General features: G+C 44.8%; 1 protein-coding gene and 1 non-coding gene across 9 annotated transcripts in view, besides 1 other annotated feature; both read right to left on the reverse strand.

Annotated features, from left to right (window-relative positions):
• MTOR (mechanistic target of rapamycin kinase) overlaps nucleotides 1-26,089 on the reverse strand; it is a 156,017-nt gene that overhangs the window by 49,660 nt on the left and 80,268 nt on the right. For all 8 annotated transcript variants that reach the window (XR_007058581.1, NM_001386501.1, NM_004958.4 and 5 more), the window contains 2 exons: nucleotides 11,248-11,323; nucleotides 958-1,097 (listed from right to left, as the gene is read on the reverse strand). Coding sequence is in view for 7 of the 8 variants with exons in the window: in NM_001386501.1 (NP_001373430.1) it covers nucleotides 958-1,097; nucleotides 11,248-11,323 (216 nt within the window). In the remaining variant the exon portion in view is untranslated. The remainder of the gene's footprint in view (nucleotides 1-957; nucleotides 1,098-11,247; nucleotides 11,324-26,089) is intronic.
• On the reverse strand, nucleotides 13,313-13,419 carry LOC124904848 (small nucleolar RNA U13). Its single transcript, XR_007067440.1, has one exon. It is a non-coding gene; the product is annotated as a small nucleolar RNA U13 (small nucleolar RNA).
• Nucleotides 21,654-22,192: an enhancer, noted in NCBI's record as "NANOG hESC enhancer chr1:11237905-11238443 (GRCh37/hg19 assembly coordinates)". NCBI's record gives its function as "activates a minimal SCP1, AML or CMV promoter by ChIP-STARR-seq in naive H9 embryonic stem cells {active_cell/tissue: H9 hESC(naive)}" and the evidence as "EXISTENCE:reporter gene assay evidence [ECO:0000049][PMID:30033119]".

The raw sequence follows: 26,089 nt of genomic DNA on the forward strand, positions 1-26,089 counted from the left end.
GGCCAGGCTGGTCTCAAACTCCTGACTTCAAATGATCTGCCTGCCTTGGCCTCCCAAAGGGTTGGGATTACAGGTGTGAGCCACTGTGCCCGGCCTGTTTTAGTCATTTAAAACTGCAATTAAACAGTTTAACAATGATAGTATAGCATTTTATTTTAACTATTTTTTAAAAGTTGCACTTGTTGTTGGAAACAGAATGGAGGCCATTTTTTCCCTTCAACATTCCCAAGCAACTCTCCAAACCAAAACCTAGCCAAATGTTCTCAGTTACGCATTACTGTTGCTTGCACCTGGAGTACCTGTTTCCCCCCTACCTTCTCCTTTACCTATCTCCTAACTCTCAGTCCTTCCTCCAGGAAGTACTGCAAAATCACCCTGCTTCCTCCTTTGGGCTTTCAAGGTAGCATGGCTCACACATTATCAACATCCTCTCAGGCTATAATAACCCTCTGTTTACGTGGCTGTCTCATCAACCTCACAGGAAAGGCCTGTTTTCTTGTGTATTTTGTTTCCTTGGAGCCTGGCATAGTGCTGGACACACAGTAAGCATCCGATATAGGTGAAGCACCTGAAGAGGGCAGTCACTGTTCTTCTTTCCTAAAAACATCTGCAAGAGCTAATTTTAAAAATCAAGGTTGCCAAGTAAGAATATGAGCTCTTCACTGGGTCAGTAAAGATCAGGAGAGTAGACAGGAGAAGTAGATCCCAGGAGCACCCCCAAGGCTGTCCTGTCCTAGAGCATTATAAAGTTTAAGTGAAGGCCTTCCTACTTAGCAGCTGAGATAGAATGGAGAGAGAAAAACACCAAAAGTGAAAGATGATTCCTGAGAAGTATCAAGTGGAACAAAATGAGTCTGAAGTGAGAACTCCGTGTGGGGGAAGCCTTCCTTTCAAATCCAAAGATCAAAGAGACGAAGTCTCTTGCAGCCACACATGCCATCATTCTAGGAAGCTCACCATTCCCCCAAGGCCTCGAGGCAGCGCATGCGGCCCAGCATCAGCTCTGGGTCGTCCTTGTTGGTGTCCATTTTCTTGTCATAGGCCACAAGGGCATCCTCCCACTCGTGCAGTTTCTCATACCAGGTAGCCTGGATCTCCTGTTACATGGGAAAGAAAGACTGCTGTGAGGTACACAGAAGAAGGGATCACATTGTTTAATCCACATACTCTCTTTCCTAATGTGCTGCTGTACGCATGACACTTCACCTATCACAGTTACGTCTGGGCTTGGATTAAAAACAACTTCAGACAATCTGGAGGAGTGCTGCTTGGGGAAGGTGGAAATACTGGTTCCTTGGCACATGGATGGAATGATCCTGGGATTATCTGAGAGCAGACGTCAGGCCATACTCCTCCCCCATTATTTCCTTCCCAGACACATGGGTCATCAGAACACACCAGGATGTGCGGACACGAGGACAGGGGAAATCATTTAGGGATAGAAGAAAACGTCGACCAGAGCACCAGAGCTGTTTCAAAGGTGCCATCGCTCCGATCTGCTGGAGTGCTGACACTGGGCTACTTGACAGGGATGGCAGCTGCTTTCCTGATGGGGCCAGAAAGACCAGGCCTCATCTGCATGTTTGCTGGAGGAAAACAACTCACTTTTTAAAACCTCTTGATTCTCTGCATTTCTTAACACATTTTTAAACTTTCAGGAAATAATAATTTAAAATATAACACCACCACTTAAAATTTTTTGGAAAGTCTTTCCCCTATTCTTCTAGAGTCTCCCATCCAATGTTCCCTCCTGCTCAGTGCTTGGCAGGTTTACCAGTGTCAGGGGCCAAAGGAGGGATTGCATTACCCTAGCAGATGGTGTGCCACGCTGAAAGAGGGTGTTGTCCACGTGAGTAGGAGGTGCTACAGTCTGAAAGTTACAGACTATGACTCTCCAAATGATCAGGAGACTGTTTTATATGCTTTCTGTCTGCCCTCCATCTCAGTTTCTCTCCTGGGCTACTTCATCATCAGCTCAATAAATGACTATTTTTGCACAGGCAAGGGTAGTGGCTCTCTAGGGATTTCTTTAACAACAATATGATTCTGCAGTGAAATTTGTATGATATAATGCAGGGCCCACACTAGTTTCTCCCATTACCCTCTTCCCCTTTCTAAATAAAACTGATGTTTGTGCAGTATGTAGACTAACAACTACTCTGCTAAGCTGTCTAAAATAATCTTTTCTTCTTGAACCTCTGAAAAGAGGTCATTTATGCTGGAGATTGTTCCCTTGTACCTACTTTCCCTGGTCTGGTTCTTTCTGGCAGAGCCGGTGCCCTCTGCTGCCCCTAGACTAATTCTGCTGCCATAAAGTCTTTGCCCAACATCAGTGGAGTTTGTCAAAATGAGCGTATCTGGCTCCACGTAAGGCAAACTATCTCAACTTCATTTTTCAAGCCTGTCCAAAATAATATCTATTATGCCTAAATACAAAATAGGAAACTTAGAAAAGAGTGACTACAAAAACTGTAAAATTTAAAAGCACTGGTAGATTTCTCATTTCAAATTTCTATACTGGGTGGAAAAGAAAAAAAAAAGAGCTGGTGACTAATGTGTGGCATACACTCAGCATGAACAAGCAGAGGGGAGAGGGGGCAGCATATGGAGTGGGTCAGTTAGAGGGTAGGATATTTTGAATTGCAATAGATTGCAGAAACTATAAGGTTTAAGCAATGAATCACACAAAATTCTAATGAGATTGCTGTTACATAAATTTTGCTGAGAAAGCACAGGCTCTGCCAAGAAAAAGCAAACCATTGTCAAGCTTAATATGATTCAGCTACCTAAATATAACAGAAAATCCACCACGGGTTTAGCAATAATCCTGGAGCTAATGGCCACCTTTGGAACCTGAAGATGGAGAAAGTTTCATTGAAGGCTGGCATTCTGAGTATGGGGTATAAACCATCTGCTGGCAGATCACCTGAATACCAGATGTCTGCGGAGTCCTTGTCTCAATCAGCACTTTCTGGGATCTAAGCTCTAAGGATATCAAAGGAGAGAACATCTTGATCTAGGTGGAGTACATGAAGTGCCCTCTCGCCCTACTTTCTTCTCTCTGCAAACAAGGATTGTGGCAAGGATGGATGAGATACAGTTCTTTCACTTTGCCATCATCTGGAGAAATGCTGTCTTAGTCTAGTTACAGATAATATGTGCTAAGGCCGGGCATGGTGACTCACGCCTGTAATCCCAGCACTTTGGGAGGCCGAGGTGGGAGGATCACCTGAAGTTGGGAGTTTGAGACTAGCCTGATCAACATGGAGAAACCCTGTCTCTAATAAAAACACAAAATTAGCTGAGCGTGGTGGTGCATGCCTGTAATCCCAGCTTCTTGGGAGGCTGAGGCAGGAGAATCGCTTGAACCCAGGAGACAGAGGTTGCAGTGAACCAAGATCGTGCCATTGCACTCCAGCCTGGGCAACAAGAGCAAAACTCCGTCTCAAAAAAAAAAAAAAGATAATATGTGCTAAAGATGGCAAAAGATTCCCTTAAACGTTTCATTCTAATTTACTAGCCCTTCTGTGAGGCAAAATGCTAGATGATCAAACAAAAGCCTGTTAAATATTCCCAATTTTTCTCACTTTAACATCCTGGGCTCCTGATCAAGGCAAACCACAGTAAGCAACCTACATGACTAACAAAAGGTTCCTCATCAAATATATGGACCTAGAGCTTCTTGACCTTCCGGGAATTCAATACTAAGTTGATTAAGTTGATGCTTTATGTATTTTAGAAGTTATCAAAATGCCCTGCCAAGACCACAAAGAATAACAGAAACATTTTAAATATTGGTAGGCCAAAGATGGCAGTAGGGAAGTAGCTATGTAAGCAATAACGAACACAAAAATGCCTCAATGTCAGATATCAATTATAGCATTTATTTATTTATTTATTTATTTATTTATTTATTTAATTTTGAGGCAGAGTTTCGCTCTTGTTGCTCAGGCTGGAGTGCAATGGAACAATCTCAGCTCACTGCAACCTCTGCCTCCCAGGTTCAAGCGATTCTCCTGTTTCAGCCTCCCGAGTAGCTGTGATTACAGGTATGCACCACCATGCCAGGCTAATTTTGTATTTTTAGTAGAGATGGGGTTTCTCCATGTTGGTCAGGCTGGTCTTGAACTCCTGATCTCAGGTGATCTGCCCATCTCGGCCTCCCAAAGTGCTGGGATTGTAGGCGTGAGCCACTGCGCCCGGCTGTATAGCATATATTTTCTAAAGAACTGGCCATGGTGTCTTCCTAAGTATCTAATGAGGATTAACTGTGGCCTAGACACAATGCAAGCTCCCACAAAGATAACTCAGATCAGGGGCAAATGCCTTGGCTCTAATGTCAGACTGCCCTGGTTCAAGTCCTGGTTTTGCCATTTATTCACTCTGTCAGCTCAGACCAGTTCTTAACCTGCTGGGACCACAGTCTCCTCATCTGTAAAATGTGATAACAGCAGTAACCACTTCATAGCATTGTTGTGAGGACCAAATTACATGAAGTATATAAACACTTAGCAAAGGGCCAGGCACATGCTAAGAGTTTGATAAAATCAGTGCTTACTGCATATTCGAATCTACCCTCATGATTTATCTCAGTTGAAATAGAGTCCCGGAGGTTCCAAGATGGCCGAATAGGAACAGCTCCAGTCTACAGCTCCCAGTGTGAGCAAAACAGAAGACAGGTGATTTCTGCATTTCACCTGAGGTACTGGGTTCATCTCACTGGGGCTTGTCGGACAGTGGGTGCAGGACAGTGGGTGCAGCCCATGGAATGTAAGCCAAAGCAGGGTGAGGCATCACCTCACCCCGGAAGCACAAGGGGTCAGGGAATTCCCTTTCCTAGCCAAGGGAAGTTGTGACAGATGGCACCTGGAAAATCGGGTCACTCCCACCCTAAAACTGCGCTTTTCCAACGGTCTTAGCAAATGGCACATCAGGAGATTATAACCCGTGCCTGGCTCAGAGGGTCCCACGCCCACGGAGCCTTGCTCATTGCTAGCACAGCAGTCTGAGATCAAACTGCAAGTAGGCAACGAGGCTGGCGGAGGGGTGCCCACCATTGCTGAGGCTTGAGTAGGTAAACAAAGTGGCCGGGAAGCTAGATCTGGGTGGAGCCCACCACAGCTCAAGGAGGCCTGCCTGCCTCTGTAGACTCCACCTCTAGGGGCAGGGCATAGCTGAACAAAAGGCAGCAGAAACTGCTGCAGACTTAAATGTCCCCGTCTGACACCTTTGAAGACAATAGTGGTTCTCCCAGAACAGAGTTTGAGATCTGAGAGGCGACAGACTGCCTCCTCAGGTGGGTCTCTGACCCCCCAGTAGCCTAACTGGGAGGCACCTCCCAGTAGGGGCCGACTGACACCTCACACGGCTGGGTGCCCCTCTGAGACGAAGCTTCCAGAGGAACGATCAGGCAGCAACATTGGCTGCTCTGCAATATTCGCTGTTCTGCAGCCTCCACTGGTGATACCCAGGCAAACGGGGTCTGGAGTGGACCTCCAGCAAACTCCAACAAAACTGCAGCTGAGGGTCCTGACTGTTAGAAGTAAAACTAACAAACAGAAAGGACATCCACACCAAAACCCCATCTGGACATCACCATCATCAAAGACCAAAGGCAGATAAAACCACAAAGATGGGGAGAAACCAGAGCAGAAAAGCTGAACATTCTTAAAATAAGAGCGCCTCTTCCCCTCCAAAGGAACGCAGCTCTTTGCCAGCAACGGAACAAAGCTGGACGGAGAACAACTTTGATGAGTTGAAAGAAGAAGGCTTCAGATGATCAAACTTTTCCAAGCTAAAGGAGGATGTTCAAACCCATCGCAAAGAAGCTAAAAACCTTGAAAAAAGATGAGACGAATGGCTAACTAGAATAACTGGTGTAGAGAAGACATTAAATGACCTGATGGAGATGAAAACCATGGCATGAGAACTACGTGATGCATGCACAAGCTTCAGTAGCCGATTTGATCAACTGGAAGAAAGGGTATCAGTGACTGAAGATCAAATGAATGAAATGAAGCGAGAAGAGAAGTTTAGAGAAAAAATAAAAAGAAACAAACAAAGCCTCCAAGAAATATGGGACTATGTGAAAAGACCAAATCTACGTCTGACTGGTGTACCTGAAAGTGACGGGGAGTGAAATAGAACCAAGTTGGAAAACACTCTTCAGGATATTATCCAGGAGAACTTCCCCAACCTAGCAAGGCAGGCCAACATTCAAATTCAGGAAATACAGAGAAAGCCACAAAGATACTTCTCGAGAAGAGCAACTCCAAGGCACATAATTGTCAGATTCACCAAAGGTGAAATGAAGGAAAAAATGTTAAGGGCAGCCAGAGAGAAAGGTTGGGTTACCCACAAAGGGAAGCCCATCAGACTAACAGCGGATCTCTTGGCAGAAACTCCACAAGCCAGAAGAGAGTGGGGGCCAATATTCAACATTCTTAAAGAGAAGAATTTTCAACCCAGAATTTCATATCCAGCCAAACTAAGCTTCATAAGTGAAGGAGGAATAAAATACTTTACAGACAAGCAAATGCTGAGAGATTTTGTCACCACCAGGCCTGCCTTACAAGAGCTCCTGAAGGAAGCACTAAACATGGAAAGGAACAACCGGTACCAGCCACTCCAAAAACATGCCAAATTGTAAAGACCATCAATGCTAGGAAGAAACCGCATCAACTAACGAGCAAAATAACCAGCTAACATCATAATGACAGGATCAAATTCACACATAACAATATTAACTTTAAATGTAAATGGGCTAAATGCTCCAATTAAAAGACACAGACTGGCAAATTGGATAAAGAGTCAAGACCCATCAGTGTGCTGTATTCAGGAGACCCATCTCACGTGCAGACACACACATAGGCTCAAAATAAAGGGATGGAGGAAGATCTACCAAGCAAATGGAAAACAAAAAAAAAGCAGGGGTTGCAATCCTAGTCTCTGATAAAACAGACTTTAAACCAACAAAGATCAAAAGAGACAAAGAAGGCAACTATATAATGATAAAGGGATCAATTCAACAAGAAGAGCTAACTATCCTAAATATATATGCGCCCAGTACAGGAGCACCCAGATTCATAAAGCAAGTCCTTAGAGACCTACAAAGAGACTTAGACTCCCAAACAGTAATAATGGGAGACTTTAACACCCCACTGTCAACATTAGACAGATCAAGACAGAAAGTTAACAAGGATATCCAGGAATTGAACTCAGCTCTGCGCCAAGTGGACCTAATACACATCTACAGAACTCTCCACCCCAAATCAACAGAATATACATTCTTCTCAGCACCACATCGCACTTATTCCAAAATTGACCACATAGTTGGAAGTAAAGCACTCCTCAGCAAATGTAAAAGAACAGAAATTATAACAAACTGTCTCTCAGACCACAGTGCAATCAAACTAGAACTCAGGATTAAGAAACTCATTCAAAACCGCTCAACTACATGGAAACTGAACAACCTGCTCCTGAATGACTACTGGGTACATAATGAAATGAAGGCAGAAATAAAGATGTTCTTTGAAACCAATGAGAACATAGACACCACATACCAGAATCTATGGGATACATTTAAAGCAGGGTGTGGAGGGAAATTTATAGCACTAAATGCCCACAAGAGAAAGCAGGAAAGATCTAAAATTGACACCCTAACATCACAATTAAAAGAACTAGAGAAGCAAGAGCAAACACATTCAAAAGCTAGCAGAAGGCAAGAAATAACTAAGATCAGAGCAGAACTGAAGGAGACAGAGACACAAAAAACCCTTCAAAAAATCAATGAATCCAGGAGCTGGTTTTTTGAAAAAGATCAACAAAATTGATAGACCACTAGCAAGACTAATAAAGAAGAAAAGAGAGGCTAGGCGCGGTGGCTCATGCCTGTAATCCCAGCACTTTGGGAGGCCGAGGTGGGCGGATCACGAGGTCAGGAGATCAAGACCATCCTGGCTAACACGGTGAAACCCCATCTCTATAAAAAATTAGCCGGGCTTGGTGGCGGGCGCCTGTAGTCCCAGCTACTCAGGAGGCTGAGGCAGGAGAATTGCATGAACCTGGGAGGCGGAGCTTGTAGTGAGCCGAGATCATGCCACTGCACTCCAGCCTGGGCGACAGAGTAAGACTCTGCCTGAAAAAAAAAAAAAAAAAAAAGAGAGAGAGAGAGAAGAATCAAATATCAAAAAGGCACATAAAAAATGATAAAGGGGATATCACCACCGATCCCACAGAAATACAAACTACCATCAGAGAATACTATAAACACCTCAACACAAATAAACTAGAAAATCTAGAAGAAATGGATAAATTCCTGGACACATACACCCTCCCAAGACTAAACCAGTAGGAAGTTGAATCCCTGAATAGACCAATAACTGGCTCTGAAATTGAGGCAATAATTAATAGCCTACCAAACAAAAAAAGTCCAGGACTAGACAGGTTCACAGCCGAATTCTACCAGTGGTACAAAGAGGAGCTGGTACCATTCCTTCCCTCTGAAACTATTCCAATAAACAGAAAAAGAGGGACTCTTCCCTAACTCATTTTATGAGGCCAGCATCATCCTGATACCAAAGCCTGGCAGAGACACAACAAAACAAGAGAATTTTAGACCAATATCCCTGATGAACATTGATGCAAAAATCCTCAATAAAATACTGGCAAACTGAATCCAGCAGCACATCAAAAAGCTTATCAACCATGATCAAGTGGGCTTCATCCCTGGGATGCAAGGCTGGTTCAACATATGCAAATCAATAAACGTAATCCATCATATAAACAGAACCAAAGACAAAAACCATGACTACCTCAACAGATGCAGAAAAGGCCTTCAAGAAAATTCAACAGCGCTTCATGCTAAAAACTCTCAATAAATTAGGTATTGATGGGGCGTATCTCAAAATAATAAGAGATATTTATGACAAACCCACAGCCAATATCATACTGAATGGGCAAAAACTGGAAGCATTCCCTTTGAAAACTGGCACAAGACAGGGATGCCCTCTCTCACCACTCCTATTCAACAAAGTGTTGGAAGTTCTGGCCAGGACAATCAGGCAGGAGAAAGAAATAAAAGGCAATTAGGAAAAGAGGAAGTCAAATTGTCCCTGTTTGCAGGTGACATGATTGTATATTTAGAAAACCCCGTCATCTCAGCCCAAAATCTCCTTAAGCTGATAAGCAACTTCAGCAAAGTCTCAGAATACAAAATCAATGTGCAAAAATCACAAGCATTCTTATACACCAATAACAGACAAACAGAGAGCCAAATCATGAGTGAACTCCCATTCACAATTGCTTCAAAGAGAATAAAATACCTAGGAATCCAACTTACAAGGGATGTGAAGGACCTCTTCAAGGAGAACTACAAACCACTGCTCAACGAAATAAAAGAGGACACAAACAAATAGAAGAACATTCCATGCTCATGGATAGGAAGAATCAATATCGTGAAAATGGCCATACTGCCCAAGGTAATTTATAGATTCAATGCCATCCCCATCAAGCTACCAATGACTTTCTTCACAGAATTGGAAAAAACTACTTTAAAGTTCATATGGAACCAAAAAAGAGCCCGCATCGCCAAGACAATCCTAAGCCAAAAGAACAAAGCTGGAGGCATCACGCTACCTGACTTCAAATTATACTACAAGGCTACAGTAACCAAACAGCATGGTACTGGTACCAAAACAGAGATATAGACCAATGGAACAGAACAGAGCCCTCAGAAATAATACCACACATCTACAATCATCTGATCTTTGACAAACCTGACAAAAACAAGCAATGGGGGAAGGATTCCCTATTTAATAAATGGTGCTGGGAAAACTGGCTAGCCATATGTAGAAATCTGAAACTGGATCCCTTCCTTACATCTTATACAAAAATCAATTCAAGATGGATTAAAGACTTAACAACGTTAGACCTAAAACCATAAAAACCCTAGAAGAAAACCTAGGCAATACCATTCAGGACATAGGCATGGGCAAGGACTTCACGTCTAAAACACCAAAAGCAATGGCAACAAAAGCCAAAATTGACAAATGGGATCTAATTAAACTAAAGAGCTTCTGCACAGCAAAAGAAACCACCATCAGAGTGAACAGGCAACCTACAGAATGGGAGAAAATTTTTGCAATCTACCCATCTAACAAAGGGCTAATATCCAGAATCTACAAAGAACTTAAACAAATTTACAAGAAAAAATCAAACAACCCCATCAAAAAGTGGGCAAAGGAGATGAACAGACACTTCTCAAAAGAAGACATTTATGCAGCCAAAAGACACATGAAAAAATGCTCATCACTGGCCATCAGAGAAATGCAAATCAAAACCACAATGAGATACCATCTCACACCAGTTAGAATGACGATCATTAAAAAGTCAGGAAACAACAGGTGCTGGAGAGGATGTGGAGAAATAGGAACACTGTTACACTGTTGGTGGGACTGTAAACTAGTTCAACCATTGTGGAAGACAGTGTGGCGATTCCTCAAGGATCTAGAACTAGAAATACCATTTAACCCAGCCATACCATTACTGGATATATACCCAAAGGATTATAAATCATGCTGCTATAAAGACACATGCACACATGAGGTTTATTGCGGCACTATTCACAATAGCAAAGACTTGGAACCAACCCAAATGTCCATCAATGATAGACTGGATTAAGAAAATGTGGCACATATACACCATGGAATACTATGCAGCCATAAAAAAGGATGAGTTCATGTCCATTGTAGGGACATGGATGAAGCTGGAAACCATCATTCTCAGTGAACTATCGCAAAGACAGAAAACCAAACACTGCATGTTCTCACTCATAGGTGGGAACTGAACAATGAGAACACCTGGACACAGGATGGGGAACATGACACACCGGGGCCTGTCGTGGAGTGTGGGGAGCGGGGAGGGATAGCATTAGGAGATATTCCTAATGTAAATGACGAGTTAATGGGTGCAGCACACCAACATGGCACATGTGTACATATGTAACAAACCTGCACGTTGTGCACATGTACCCTAGAACTTAAAGTATAATTAAAAAAAAAAAAGAAAGAAATAGAGTCCCTACAGACACAGTTTATCTCTTTCATCCTGAAGACTGGTAAGTCAGCATCAGACTGTTATGAATTGGAGAAAAAACAGAAAAGGAAAGTAACTTTCTGAAGGTCAGGGCCAATAACTCCCTAGCCAAGTCTCTACCTCCTGCTTTTCCAAAAAGAATGAGGTGCTTACCAGCTCTCCAAAGTGTTTCATGGCATATTCTAACACTCCGGCCGCTGCCTCCGGCTGCTGTAGCTTATTATTAATGCTGAGAAAACAAAGGGAAAAGGTAGTTACACTCAACAGGTCTGAGGGTAGGAGATGTGGGGGTCATTTGTGGGCAGATGGTTCACCAGCACTTTGAGGACAATGTCTTGCAGATGCTGAAAGAGTATCAATTATCTATTACCATCCAGAAAGCTCAGTTTAAATCGTTTCATCTGAAAGAGGTTTGTGCTCTCCTCCCATGATTCTGGGGGTCAGTAATGGGAACACTCATCTTGCTGCTCTGTGGCCCTTCCTTTAAGAGCAGAGACTAGGCTGGGTGTGGTGGCTCACGCCTGTAATCCCAGCACTTTGGGAGGCTGAGGCGGTTGGATCACGAGGTCAGGAGATCAAGACCATCCTGGCTAACAAGGTGAAACCCTGTCTCTACTAAAAATACAAAAAAATTAGCCGGGCGTGGTGGCAGGCACCTGTAGTCCCAGCTACTCAGGAGGCTGACGCGGGAGAATGGCGTGAACCTGGGAGGCAGAGCTTGCAGTGAGCCGAGACCGTGCCACTGCACTCCAGCCTGGGGGACAGAGTGAGACACTGTCTCAAAAAAAAAAAAAAAGAGCATAGACTGGTTTCCTCTCAGACGCCGGCAGGCAGGCAACATGTGTCTGTTTCTGAAACACCAGAAACCTTGGATACGAAATTATCCCTGTTGTAGTACACAATCATATGAGACTCCTCTGAACTTTTTTTTTTTTTTTTGAGACCGGGTCTTGCTATGTTGTCCAGGCTGGTCTCGGACTCCTGGGCTCAAGTGATCCTCCTGCCTCAGCCTCCTGAGTAGCTGGGATTACAGGTACACACCACAGCACCTGGCTCCTCTGAACTTCTAAGTCTTAACTTCTCATCAGTTGCCTTCAGTAGTAGGAATAACAAAATTAATCAAAACCATCAGACTCTGTGAGTGACACAGGTGGCACCAAGGTTGGGGCATGCACGTCAATGACAGAACCCTGGGAGCTGTGGCAATGCAGCCCTGCTGACCGTTCTGACAGAGCCCACCCCCTTCAAATTCAGATGCCTCCCTAGACCCTCTTCAGGGGCTGTTCCCTTCCACCCTTTGCAGAAGGCTGCCAAGGGACCATATCTAGAGTTTCTTGAACTGGCCTCTACTGTAGAGAAGCTTTTCACTAATGACACCCTGCTCTGCTGATGCCATCTTTAGGCTGGAGGACTGTTACCACACTGGGACAACTGGGCAGTGCCACTGGGAGGCCTGGTGCCTGCAGTTGGTTCATCAGAGGCTGCTAGGAGGCCTTGAAAACAGAGTAGCCATGGGGGCTTAGATCCTTATTCCTGTAGGAACTTATGCAACTAAGCTCAATACTAAATATAAGCCTGAGTTATGGAAGGAAGGGAAAGAGGGGAGGGTGAAGGAGCTCGCTTGAGAAATCCACAAGACCACAATGATTATATCTGTTTAAAGGTAGGGAGCAAAATGTGACACATCAACCTGGGAGTCTAGACTGGTTTAATGAGCAAGGATCCAGTTTACTGCTTTGAGTACAAACTGTCTGCTTGACCAGAATTAATTTTTAAGTGGTTTTGGGAAATTCCAGGATTTGAGTTCAATGTGGTAATATGGCAAGAAATTGCTGTTATAAATATTATTTTTAAAAATCCAAATTCCACCACATTTCTTCCAATAAAACCAAAGGAAATTGCCCAGAAATCTAAAGAAGCTAACATTTGTGAAAGTAATAATCTAATGCCTCATGTTTACAAAGCGTTTTCAAATAATCTTTCCAATCCATCACTTCTTTGACCCCATGCATCCCTAAGAGTGGGAAGGGAGAGGTGTTATCAGACCTGTTTCACTAACGGGGAAGCTAAAGCCCAGGAAAGGCAGGGATTTTCCCCAAGGCCCACAGGAATCAGGAAAGTCCCCACAGTAAATCAAGCACCTTATGCCTCTTTGTTAAGGAAAAGTTGGGGGTGAAACAGCCTTGGATTTGGAGTCAGAAGATGGGGTTTTTCCCCATGTCAGACTGATCACATGCTGACGTGATAACAAGTTTGAGGGAGACACATCTCACCACATGTGATGGTAAAAACCCAATCATCATGCATAAATGTATACAAAAGGATTGAAACTTGGGTTTAACTTTCTGGAGGTCTAATTCTGCCACTTATAAGCTGTGTGATCATAAATAAGTCGTTTCAAAAATTTTAATTTTTAATTTTTTTAGGTACATAGTAGGACATATTTAACTCATCTTTTTTGAATGTAAATTCCTTATCTATATAACAGGGCTAATATCACCTCCTCCTTCAGAGGGTTCTTCGGGGAATTAAACAATGAACATGCAATTGCTAAGCAGGTCCTTCACCTGTGTTTGTCCAAGCATAAAAGCTGCTAAAACACAGTGATATGCTTGTCTGCAGAAATAACATACACCTACGGTGGAGACTTAAGTTAGGACTAGGAAGTCATCACTGCGAATTCCCAATGTTTCCTGAGTAGAACTGTTCGAGTGTCCAGTATCCAGTTTCTAGGCTCCAGATTCGTTGGGGAAGCTATGCGGCTGGTGCTTCTTGAGCTGGTACTAAGCAAGGCAATGAACCAGAATATGCTCCATAAGTTAGCCTGCTACAAAATTCGGAGATGTTTTTAATTTCAGAGTGAAACCACGGCATGATGGTTTCCCTTAGGAAGCCCTATATGAGGTTTTCTAAGCTAAGAATGAAAAGCAAGTCTAAAGGGACCTACTCCACTGTAGGTTCATTGGGAAGCAGTTCCCAATGCCACTTGGCCCCATAAATCAGGTACTGGGCTTTGTGCCCAATCACATGGGGCTGGGTAAACTGTACTAATAATATTACTAGGTATAGATTTGGGATTATCTAGTTCCTTGAAGCCAAATAAAGATTTTGGAAGCATAAGAAAACAGGAAAAAAGAAAGCCAGTGGCTGGGCACAGTGGTTCATGCCTGTAATCCCAGCACTTTGGGAGGTTGAGGCAGGAGGATTGCTTGAGCTCAGGAGTTTTAAACCAGCCTGGGCAACACAGTGAGACCCCATCTCTATTAAAGAAAAATAATAATAAAAAAAAAGAAAGCCAGTATATAGTCTATATATTTTAATGATATGGTCCCTGTATTATTACAATGGATTCTTGGGATGAAGGCCATCTTTATTTCAATCCTATCCTTTTCTTTTTTTTTTTTCTTTTTTTTGAGAGATGGAGTTTCACTCTTGTTGCCCAGGCTGGAGTGCAGTGGTGTGATCTCAGTTCACTGCAACCCCTGCCTCCCAGGTTTAAGTGATTCTCCTGCCTCAGCCTCTGGAGTAGCTGGGATTACAGGCGCACACCACCACACCACACACGCCGGGCGGCCTTGGTAGGAGTAAAAAATTGTTCTGATAAGGAAGATAAAGTGTTCTTCACCTGAACCAGAAGAAACTAACTCTAAGAAACGACATAAAAAACTGAGGCCGAGGTGGGTGGATCATGAGGTCAGGAGTTCGAGACCAGTCTGGCCAATCCAGTGAAACCCCGTCTCTACTAAAAATACAAAAATTAGCTGGGCGTGGTGGCGGGCACCTGTAATCCCAGCTACTCGGGAGGCTGAGGCAGGAGAATTGCTTGAACCCAGGAGGTGGAGGTTGCAGTGAGCCAAGATTATGCCACTGCACTCCAGCCTGGGCGACAGAGCTAGACTCTATCTCAAAAAAAAAAAAAAGAAAAAGAAAATCCAGGAGTTCTAACAACTGTCTTCAATCTTGTGCTCTGGAAAACATTCTATTTTCTTTTCTTCTTTCTTTCTTTTTTAAAGAGACAGGGTCTTGCTCTGTTATCCAGGCTGAAGTTCAGTGGCACAATCATGGCTCACTGCAGCCTCAATCTCCTGGCTCAAGCAATCCTCTGGCCTCGGCCTCCCAAACTGCTGGGATGACAGGTGTGAGGCACTGCACCTGGCCTCCAGCCTATTTTTAAATTTTAACATTACCGAAGCTCGATTCATTCCGAGGAGAAAACAACAAAAACAAAAACAAATACAAGTCTTTTCCTAATCCACTCTCCCAATTATCACAGTGCATAAAAAATGAGTTTTACAACAAACTGATCAAAATTAGGAAGTAGTGATTAGGGACCTCGAAAGAGAAACAAATTTTACCTTAATACAGCTACAGCCTTGATATACCACCTCTAAGGACTGACCAGCATAGCTTTGCAAATTAAAAATGTAAAAACATATGGCCTTAACTCCTTTAAGAGAGAGTCCAGGCCAGGCACGGTGGCTCATGCCTGTAATTCCAGAGCTTTGGGAGGCCAAGGTAGGAGGATAACCTGAAGTCAGTAGTTTGAGACCAGGCTGGCCAACATGGTGAAACCCCATCTCTACTAAAAATACAAAAATTAGCCAGGTGTTGTGGCACATGCTTGTAATCCCAGCTACTGGGAAGGCTGAGGCAGGAGAATCACTTGAACCTGGGAAGGTTGCAGTGAGCCAAGATTGTGCCACTGCACTCCAGCCTGGGCAACAAGAGCAAAACTCCATCTCAAAAAAAAAAAAAAAAAGAGAGAGGGAGAGTCCTATGACTTATCTGTATAATATTTCCCATCTGAATGTGTGGAGGCAGGTCAGGCTGCAGACAGAGCTCAGTGGGCAGGAAAGAGGGCAACAGGCTGGGCTCACTGGGGGACCAGGCCTTTACCAGTGGCCATTAAACTTGGGGGTGCACCTTGGGATCCATGATAAGCTCTTATTGAGCAGTAAGAACATAATCATTAAAAAATTACAACTTTGGCTGGGCGCGGTGGCTCACGCCTGTAATCCCAGCACTTTGGGAGGCTGAGGTGGGCAGATCACGAGGTCAGGAGATCGAGACCATCCTGGCTAACATGGTGAAACCCCGTCTCTACTAAAAATACAAAAAAGTTAGCCAGGCATGGTGGTGGGCGCCTGTATAGTCCTAGCTACACAGGAGACTGAGGCAGGAGAATGGCATGAACCCGAGAGGTGGAGCTTGCTGTGAGCCGAGATCACACCACTGCATTCCAACCTGGGTGACCGCGAGACTCTGTCTCAAAAAAAAAAAAAAAAAAAAATACAACTTTGGGCCAGGCGCGGTGGCTCACGCCTATAACCCCAGCACTGTGGGAGGCCGAGGTGGGCGGATCACGAGGTCAGGAGTTCGAGACCAGCCTGGCCAACATGGTGAAACCCCATCTCTACTAAAAATACAAAAGTTAGTGGAGCGTGGTGGCGAACGCCTGTAATTGCAGCTACTCGGGAGGCTGAGGCAGGAGGATCACTTGAACCCAGGAGGTGGAGGTTGCTGAGATCGCACCACTGCACTCCAGCCTGAGCGAAAAAAGCAAGACTCTGTCTCAAAAAAAAAAAAAAAAATTACAACTTTGACTAAACTCATGAAAAATGAACACTCTCGCTCTGAGAAATTAATTTCTTTGTCTCTGATTTGAGAACCTGAAGGTAAGAAGGTCACTGTCCATATCCACTCTCTTTTCTTTTTTTTTTTTTGAGACCGAGTCTCACTCTGTCACCCAGGCTGGAGTGCAATGGCACGATCTCAGCTCACTGCACCCTCCGCTTCTTGGGTTCAAGCAATTCTCCTGTCTTAGCCTCCTGAGTAGCCGGGATTACTGGTGCCCACCAGCATACCTGGCTCATTTTTGTATTTTTAGTAGAGATGGGGTTTTGCCACGTTGGCCAGGCTGGTCTAGAACTCCTGACCTCAGGTGATCTGTCCGCCTCGGTCTCCCAAAGTGCTGGGATTACAGATGTGAGCCACCTCGCCTAGCCCACTCTCTTTTTTTCACAACAAGGTCTGGTTCTGTTATCCAAGGTGGGGTGCAATGGTGCGATCTCAGGCCACTGCAACCTCCACCCCCTGGACTCACGCAATCCTCCCACCTCAGCCTCTCAAAGGCCTACACCACCACACACATTATTATTTTTTTTTTGTATTTTTAGTAGAAATGAAGTTTTGCCGTGTTGCCCAGGCTGGTCTCGAACTCCTGAGCTCAAGTGATCTGCCTGTCTCAGCCTCCCAAATTGTTAGGATTACAGGCATGAGCCACCACGCCCAGCCACACCTACTCTCTTGATTGTTCAAAGAATAAAGAGATTTTTAGTGAACCAGCTGCTATCAGCCTGTGTATTTATTTCCTCTTCCCCCTTTTTCACTTTAATTTCCTACAGGACTTTCTCCCTAAGCTACATTTCTCTTATTTCCTTCTGAGGAGTTCCCATGCACGCCTCTAAAGCTGCTGGAGAATACTAATTATGGATGTGGATGCTCTGGACAGTGAAGTCAGCAGGCTTATTAATCCTGGTGATCAAGAGAGTCTGTTATCTTGTTTGGGATCTTAATTTTTTCTTCTTCCTCCATGCCTTCTGGCACTCCATCACGGGAGGCAACAAGAAGAAGATACAAGAAGAAGATACCAAAATAAGAAGAGAGCTCACCATATGTGCCAGGCACTGCGCTTATTGTTTCTATGTATTATTTCGACCCTGTGAAACTATTATTAATATTCTCATTTTATATATGAAGAAAACACAGCCCAGTAGGTCACAGGCTATTGCCTTCCCTTAAAAGGTGACTTTCTCTTAAAAATGTTACCACGGAAAAGTATCTTTAGTGCCATGTTGAGGTAAAGAGAAAAAAGTATCTTAAGTAATAATGAAGGGTATACTGCAAGCTCTGCAATGGGAGGGACAGGCGGTGTCTTAGCTTTCTCCTCTTGGCATCAGTAGGCACCCAGGAATTAGCTGTAAAATGAACGAGTGTGAGCAATGGGTGGGATGTTTCCATTAACTCTCTCTCTAGAACTCATTGTGCAGGAGAAGGGAGCCCTCCTGTGCCTTCATTTTAACTTCCTCACTAACATTCCTCTCTTACTCCCAAGCTCCCATCTCACATTTTTTATTTCCTTCCAGAAGCTACTAATATGCCTCCAGCCTTCCACGTGACAAGTCAGCATGCCATCACAGCAGGCTTTTCAAAGACAGCCAGGCTTATAGTTCAGGCTGCAAAGTGCAGGACAAGCAAGTCTCTGTGAAAATGCAGGAGTTCACAGCCACTAAGTCCCAGATCTCCTGCCTACCTGGGTGATACAAAGCCGTCCTTTGAATTATGTCCCTTTTCTAATGAGATGTGGTTTTTATGAGACTGAAGGCAGAGACTGTATGTTCGGCTCCTGTGAAGAAATCACCTTTGCTCAAAAGCCCCCTTAGCGAGGAACTCTTGTTTTACGGGGCAGCTGGGAGTTTTATAAAGCCCATTCTATAAACACCCCCTTGGGTGCCCCTCAGTCTTTCCCTATTAATGCTGCAGGCTTATAAAGGGCAAACTGTTCAAAGCTCCAGCCCAACAGAAGAGGAGTACGTAACACCACAAACCAGACCCTGCTGATGCTGGTCTGGTGGAAAAGATCTGAACACAAACAAGTTTAAAGAAACTGAGGCTTGTCAGCAACGTGCCTATAACAGTGTGCAGAAATGACAGGTCAATCAGATTTCCCATCTCCTCTTGACGCCTACTGAGGCCAAAAGGAAAAGAGAACTGAGTCCCAAGAATTTTCTAAACTAGTGATTCCCACTGCCTCCCTAACATGGGTGTGGGGTATGTTGGTATTCTACTCCAGTTTCCAGTTATAACATCCAGTTGCTATCATACAGTTGTGAATCTGTAGAACAAACAGAAACTGCCTATCCGCATAATAGAATCCAGAGCCCACAAACTGAACCTGGCGTTAGGAAGACAACGAAGACAGGCGGAAAGGAGAACATGGTGAATCTGGGTATCAGGGGCAGAAGGAGGCCGCTGTACAGACATATTCATTCTCATTCATTCTCCACTCTCCCCACCCCAGCCCAAGATTGAATTCTGATTAAAGGAGGCTGAATTGCAGAGCCTCCTTTCATCAAATTCGAGTTTTGAATTGAGCTGGGAAAGTTCTTGGCAATCAAGGAAAACATTTTCTAGAGCTGAGCAGAACTAATACTAAGAAATTGCCTTGCTGCCTTCCTATAGCAAACATCACACCATTACGCTGAACATCTTATCCCCACTATCCAGAAACCTTGTTCCCAAGGCAGGGCAAGCATGCGAGCTGAGCAGCGGGTGGTTCAGCTGTGCAGACACTTCCCCCGGCAAAGGCCCTGTCAGGAGTGACGGTAGAGCAGCTCACGTGGGCAGTGGCGCCTGCTGCCTCCCCATAGCCCTTTCCTCTCAGGCTCTCCCTAGCAGGTTTTTTTTTTTTTTTTGAGACAGGGTCTCACTCTGTCACCCAGACTGGAGTGCAGTGGCGCAATCTCGGCTCACCGCAACCTCTGCCTCCCAGGCTCAAGGATTCTCATGCCTCAGTCTCTCCAGTAGCTGGGATTACAGGTGCGCGCCACTACTGCCCAGCTAATTTTTCTATTTTTAGTAGTAGAGATGTGTTTTCACCATGTTGGCCAGGCTGGTCTTGAACTCCTGACCTCAAATGATCTAACCGCCTCAGCCTCCCAAAGTGCTGGGATTACAGGCATGAGCCACTGTGCCCAGCCCCCTCACTGCCTTTTATTGGAGGAGGATGAGATTGACTGAAATAGTGGGTCATTAACTGCTCAAGGACTTAATGCTGACCCACAGCAAAGCAGTCTAAACGCCTTTCCTGCCACCTGAAGAGAAACCTGGAGAACATTGTCTCTGGAAGTGCCCTCAGTCACGGCTCCACAGGCTTCTGGACAGATGCTGAGTCCACAGTAACTTGACATGGCAGTGCCTCCTTGAGTGGCCCACTTGGTTATCGCCCTCATCCCTCAGTCTTGGTGCCGCGTGACCTCTGGGGTTCAGAGCAAAGTGATGCAAGCCTCTTCCACACAAGGCGGCGCCTGTCGGAAAGTCCTCAGGCAGCAAGGAGCATCTGCAGGCACAGCTGGGGCAACGCTCAGGCTTCCCCAGCGCTCCCATCAGGAATGTATGAGAACACACCCACTGGCTTCCCAAATGGCTGTGGACCTTCTTTCTCCTGTCTATTTCTAGTGCAGACCACAGTCTGAGTTTCATTTGGTTCCCTGTCAAGTGAGAATTCTCTGAATTCCCCTGGCGCCAGGCTGGTGACACATGCATCACAGCTGATGGGGCTGTGGCAGGTCTGACTGAAGTGGCCTGACCAGCCACACTGAGGCCACCCTGGACACTGCTTTGGGTCCTAACCACTGTATCAAGCAGTTTCTCTCATGGAGTGGTAACTGCTTGAGATTCTCCTGTCACTTCTCCCAGCACTGAGGCTTAGCTCTGTGCCCAACGCAGGATTAACAACCAAATAGTCTGATTCCTTCTAGGGCCAGGAAGATCTGGGGTTGGCTAGGCCTTGATGTCTTTATCAGGAAGCTACCTTGGGAATCTGGGAACAGGAGAATGGTCTGGGGAACTCAAGAATGAACAGACTAATGTAGAAGAGAAAGGACAGCAGGGCAGACAGAAGCAAAATGAAAACATCTGAAAAGTGACGGGGCAGAAGGTTGGGAGGGCTGCCGGAATGCAGACAGGAGGGGAAGTGAAGGGAAACAAAGCCAGAATCAGATGATGAAGACAGTACCTCTGGGTCTGGCAGGGCTGGAACTTAGGAAAAAGAACTTTATATATTAAGAGAAGGCTGGCCCCATTACAAGGTTTCAAAGCTGGGGCATTTGGTGTACTTGGAGCTCTTGGGGACCTAAGGCACCAAGATAAAAAAAAGTTTGGTGCAAGAGAGGTGGCCAGCTTTAGACAGTCAAAATAGGTTTCTTTGGCTAGGCGCGGTGGCTCATGCCTGTAATCCCACCACCTTGGGAGGCCGAGACAGGATGACTGCTTGAGGACAGGAATTCAAGACCAGCCTGAGCAACATAGCAAGACTTCGAATCTACAAAAAATTTAAAAATTAGCTGGGTGAGGTGATCTGTGTCTGCAGTCCCAGCTATTTGGGAGACTAAGGCGGGAGGAACACTTGAGCCCACGAGTGTGAGGCTGCAGTGGGCTACAATCGCACCACTGCACTCCAGACTGGGTGACAGAGTGAGACTCTGTCTCCAAAAACAAAACAAAAGATTCCTGATGTCTCAGGCTCAGAGTGGCCTAAAAATAAAAAGAATTCTTACTATGTCTTCATCCTTGTTTCTGTCTGGTCACAGTTTAAATGGTTTGTCTGTCACAATGCCTAGAGGACACGCTAAATCTGTATGTGAGAAAGTGTGAGCCCTTAGAATAAAGAGGGTAGAATGTTAACAGTTTTTGAGATTAGGAAGTGCGTGGGGGAATGGGGGCGCGTGTGCAAAAAAACTCATCTTTTCAAGATTGGTGAGTGGAAGTACCACTTTTTAAAAAGAAAAAAATGGAGGAGGGAAGTTGATTGTAATATAATCACCTTTCCAAGATACTTTTACCTGCGCATATTCTGCATAAATGCATATTTTATACATACTGGTGATGAAAGTATAGATACAATTTTGTATGCTGCCTTTTCACTAACACAGGTATTTTCCACTCCATTCAGTCTTCATAATTGCTTTTACTGGCTGCATACCCGTTTCCTCCCACTGATAGATCCCATGGCTGGTTAGCAGCAGCACTTGTTAGATACCAGGCCACCAGGAGTGCTGCTGATGGCTCCCATTCAGCACTCTCTATGCTAAGTGAACTGTCCTGCAGAAGTTTACAAAGTCAGCTCTGGGAATCCTAGTGCCCAGCCTCGGAGAGGAATACTGCCCAGCGATGAGCTGGCAAGCTGGCCCATTTGACTCACCGTCTCCAGGCATCTCCTGGTTGGATATAGGGCCCAGGTACCTTAGCACAACCCAGAATAAGGCAGAGAGAGGTGCACAACCCCAGAATGTCAAAGCACACGACTTTTGCTGGCCAGGTTTGCAACTGAGGAGCCTGTCAGAGGCGTGTTGTAAAAATGATGAATGGCTGTCACATTTCCAAGGCTCTGGCTGATTTAGGGAGCTATTGGCAGGCACACCGCTCCCAGCATGTCAGCCAGTTAATTACTTCCAACTTTATCTTACTTGTCAACACTTCTTGACAAATTGGCCATTATCTTTTTATTCTACAACAATGAGCACTGCTCCTTTTCTTGTGATGCCTGCAGGTTCTTCTCCCCCTTTCTGCTTCTTCACATCCAGAGAGAAACAAAGAGCTCTGAGAGAGACTACTAGAAAGAAGCAGCAGTCAGGAAAAGGATGGGGAAAAGGAGCAAAAGGGGTGGGCTGATAGAGTGACTCCAAAGCTAATGTTCATCTCTCTTGACTCAAAACTGAGGTGATATTTTGGGTAAAGTCCTGATTTCTTGGCTTCTGAATGTCCAAGAACTCTGACTCAGTCCATTATGTGGATAAAGTTGGGAAACAAAACTTAAACAAGCTGGCACCTAGTGATCTGGCAGCTTGTAACTCTTCACATTTAATTGTAGAAGCAGATGTGAGCTGGTCTTCCACTCTATTAAGGAGTTGGGCCACAGTGTAGGAATAATGATGCCCATTCTGGGTTCAGGGAAAAGAAAAAACCATGCCCACCTTCTTGGTAATGGATGCCTCATGGAAGAGAACTGTGGCACTCTATAACTGGATTACCAGGATTCACAGCCAGTGAAAAGTCCAGAAATGTTTGGAGAGACCAGTGGTGCCCCTACTGATATCATCACTGCATGAACAGTCAGAGGTGGCCATGAGGCAGAGCCCAGCACCTACTAGATTTCATCAGTTCTAAGACACACATTTTTTTCACACCTTAACATCTCTGAAATTGGGATGCAGCATACAATTCAAGGTTTCAGAGCACTGGGACACAGTGTAACTGCTAGCACTTTCTTTCCCTCCCCCAGTGTTATATAAAAATCAGAAGCAGTTTCTCTAAGTCAGCATAAGAGCAGTCCCATTAAATCTCCAGGTAGTCTGAAGGATAAGCTAGCTTTTGTAGAAGAGTTTAGGGATACCACTGAAATACAGCAAGTTTCTCCCCTTAGAAGGGTCTTGTTTTGTAACAATAGCCCCTCTGTCCTTTTGGCCAGCTTTAGGAGAAACCCCAGAACTCTCCTCTTCTTACAATTCCTCGCTGATGGCGAGGTTTCTCCACTGAAGAGCCTTCCCTGGGGTTCATAAGACGCTCTGCAAGAGCAAGCTGTTACAGTGACCCTGGGGGAAGTCTTGACAGCAGCTAGAAGTAAATGCATGCTCTACTGATAACTGGTGAGAGATGTGGCCTCTTGGGCTGAATCTAAAAGTGCATTTGAAAAAAAAAATGGGGCTACAGCAAAGATACAAACTGCTTCTGCTTTTGCTCTTTTCTCCTACTCTTTGCAGCATGGAGCTTTTCTACAAAGGACACAGATTCTTACAGGCACACTGGCCCTTCTGAAGTCAGCACGAACATAGAAGTTTGGAATGTGGTTTTTTGTTTGTTTTGAGATAGTGTCTTGTTCTGTTGCCCACGCTGGAGTGCAGTGGTGCAATCATAGCTCACTGCAGCCTCAAACTCCTGGACTCAAGTGATCCTCCTGCCTTGGCCTCCTGAGTAGCTGAGACCACAAGCGCATGCCATCATGCCCCACTAAACTTTTTACAGAGACAAGGTCTTGCTATGTTACCCAGGCTGGTCTTGAACTCCTGGCTTCAAGCAATCCTCCTGTCTTGGCCTCCCAAAGTGCTGGGATTATAGGAGTGAGCCACTGCACCCAGCCTGGAATGTGTTTTGCTGTGAGCAAAACCTCACCTCTGTGGACTGACTGCTTTTTCTTCCAGCAGAGGTACAGAAAAAGAAAAGGACCGCATATCTTTTCTGGAAGCCAGGAAACAACTGTAAAAGCAGGAATCATACTTTCAAGCAGCACAATATTGGCACCCTGGAAACATGTGTTTAGAATTAAGACAAAGAGTGGGTTTTGTTTGCCCATTTAGCCCCTTGCCTGCAGACTGTAAAACCCAGTCACCCTTGCCATTAATTGGTTGCTCAGGCATAACTGGCACAAATCCTCTAACATTCTTAAAGAATGACCAGGCCTGTTTTCCAGTTTGTGGTGCCTAAGTCAGGGTGGAGATGTCTAACCCAAAGAGAAGCTCTGTAGTTCAGAGAACAGCTTGGTGGGGTGGACATGTGATCTTGTCCTGCAACCCCTGACAAGGTCTTATCTCTAGCTAAGGGTGATTTACTGAAATTGCAATATAATGGACATTTGATTTCCCTTTGGGGACAGATGAGCTTTGTTAGGTTACTGGGGATAAAATATGGGGACTACAGCTGCCCAGAAATAAGGCAGGTTTTTTTTTTTTTTTTGACGGAGTCTTGCTCTGTCGCCAGGCTGGAGTGCAGCGGTGCGATCTCGGCTCACTGCAACCTCTACCTCCCGAGTTCAAGCAATTCTCTGGCCTCAGCCTCCCAAGTAGCTGGGACTACAGGAGTGTGCCACCACATCCAGCTAATTTTTGTATTTTTAATAGAGACGGGGTTTCACCACATTGGCCAGGATGGTCTTGATATCTTGACTTTGTAATCTGCCCGTCTTGGCCTCCCAAAGTGCTGGGATTACAGGCATGAGCCACCTTGCCCGCCCGAAATAAGGCAGTTTTTATGGGGACATGTTACTTTCTTCATTTTGTCAACATTAGCTGTTGCATGCAGCCCCTAGGGCCAGTGCAGGTTGAAGTAATCAGACATGTCATTTACACTGGCTTCTGGAATAAACAGGAGAGGGAGAAAACCTGATCTCAGATACTCTGTGGTCCTCTTGCTGATCATCTTCCTAAGTAAAAAAAAAAGTGATGAGACACAGCCTGGTGATGTCTAGGAATATGTATGCAATATATTATACAATAAGGAAGCTACCTCAAGTTATTGATTTAAAAAATGGGGTCAAAGCCGGATGTAGTGGTGGGCACCTGTAATTCCAGCTACTCGGGAGGCTGAGGCAAGAGAACTGCTTGAATCCAGGAGGCGGAGGTTGCACTGAGCTGAGACCCCACCACTACACTCAAGCCTGGGCGACAGAGCCAGACTCCATCTCAAAATAAATAAACAAATAAAATAAAAATTAAAAAGAGGGTTGAAACAAAGGATCTCAACTCTCCCAGTTTTCACTTTCTTTGATTCTATGACTAAGACCTGAAGAAGGAAAACTGACCCCATGCAGGACAGAATGTGATGCCCTACAGCGAAGACCTCACCACAGTAAAACACTGGAAACGTCCATGGAGAGAGACTGTAAGTCTCCATAATAGATATTTAGGGGGAAGAGAACCTTCTCTTTGAAATTCATTATTTCATTTGACAAGTTCTAATTTAGTATGCATTTTGTCTTAGGCTTTATGCTAAGTGCTAGATGCTAGAGGTACTGTGGAAAATAAGAGAAACATGTTCTTTGCTTTCGCAGAGCTTACAGGTTAGAGAAGTAGATACACAAAAAAGTACAAACCGAGGCCAGGTGCAGTGGCTCACACCTGTAATCCCAGCACTTTGGGAGGCCAAGGCAGGCGGATCACCTGAGGTCAGGAGTTCGAGACCAGCCTGACCGACATGGAGAAACCCCCTCTCTACTAAAAATACAAAATTAGCAAGGCATGGCAGTGCATGACTGTAATCCCAGCTACTCAGGAGGCTGAGGCAAGAGAATTGCTTGAACCTGGGAGGCGGAGGTTGCAGTGAGCTGAGATTGCGCCACTGCGCTCCAGCCTGGGCAATAAGAGCGAAACTCCATCTTAAAAAAAAAAAAAAAAGTACAAACTGAAATAAGTGCTTTTGTGGCAAATACCATGAAGAGAACAGA

The sequence above is a fragment of the Homo sapiens genome, chromosome 1 (assembly GCF_000001405.40).
Source record: "Homo sapiens chromosome 1, GRCh38.p14 Primary Assembly".
NCBI classification, from domain to species: Eukaryota; Metazoa; Chordata; class Mammalia; order Primates; family Hominidae; genus Homo; species Homo sapiens.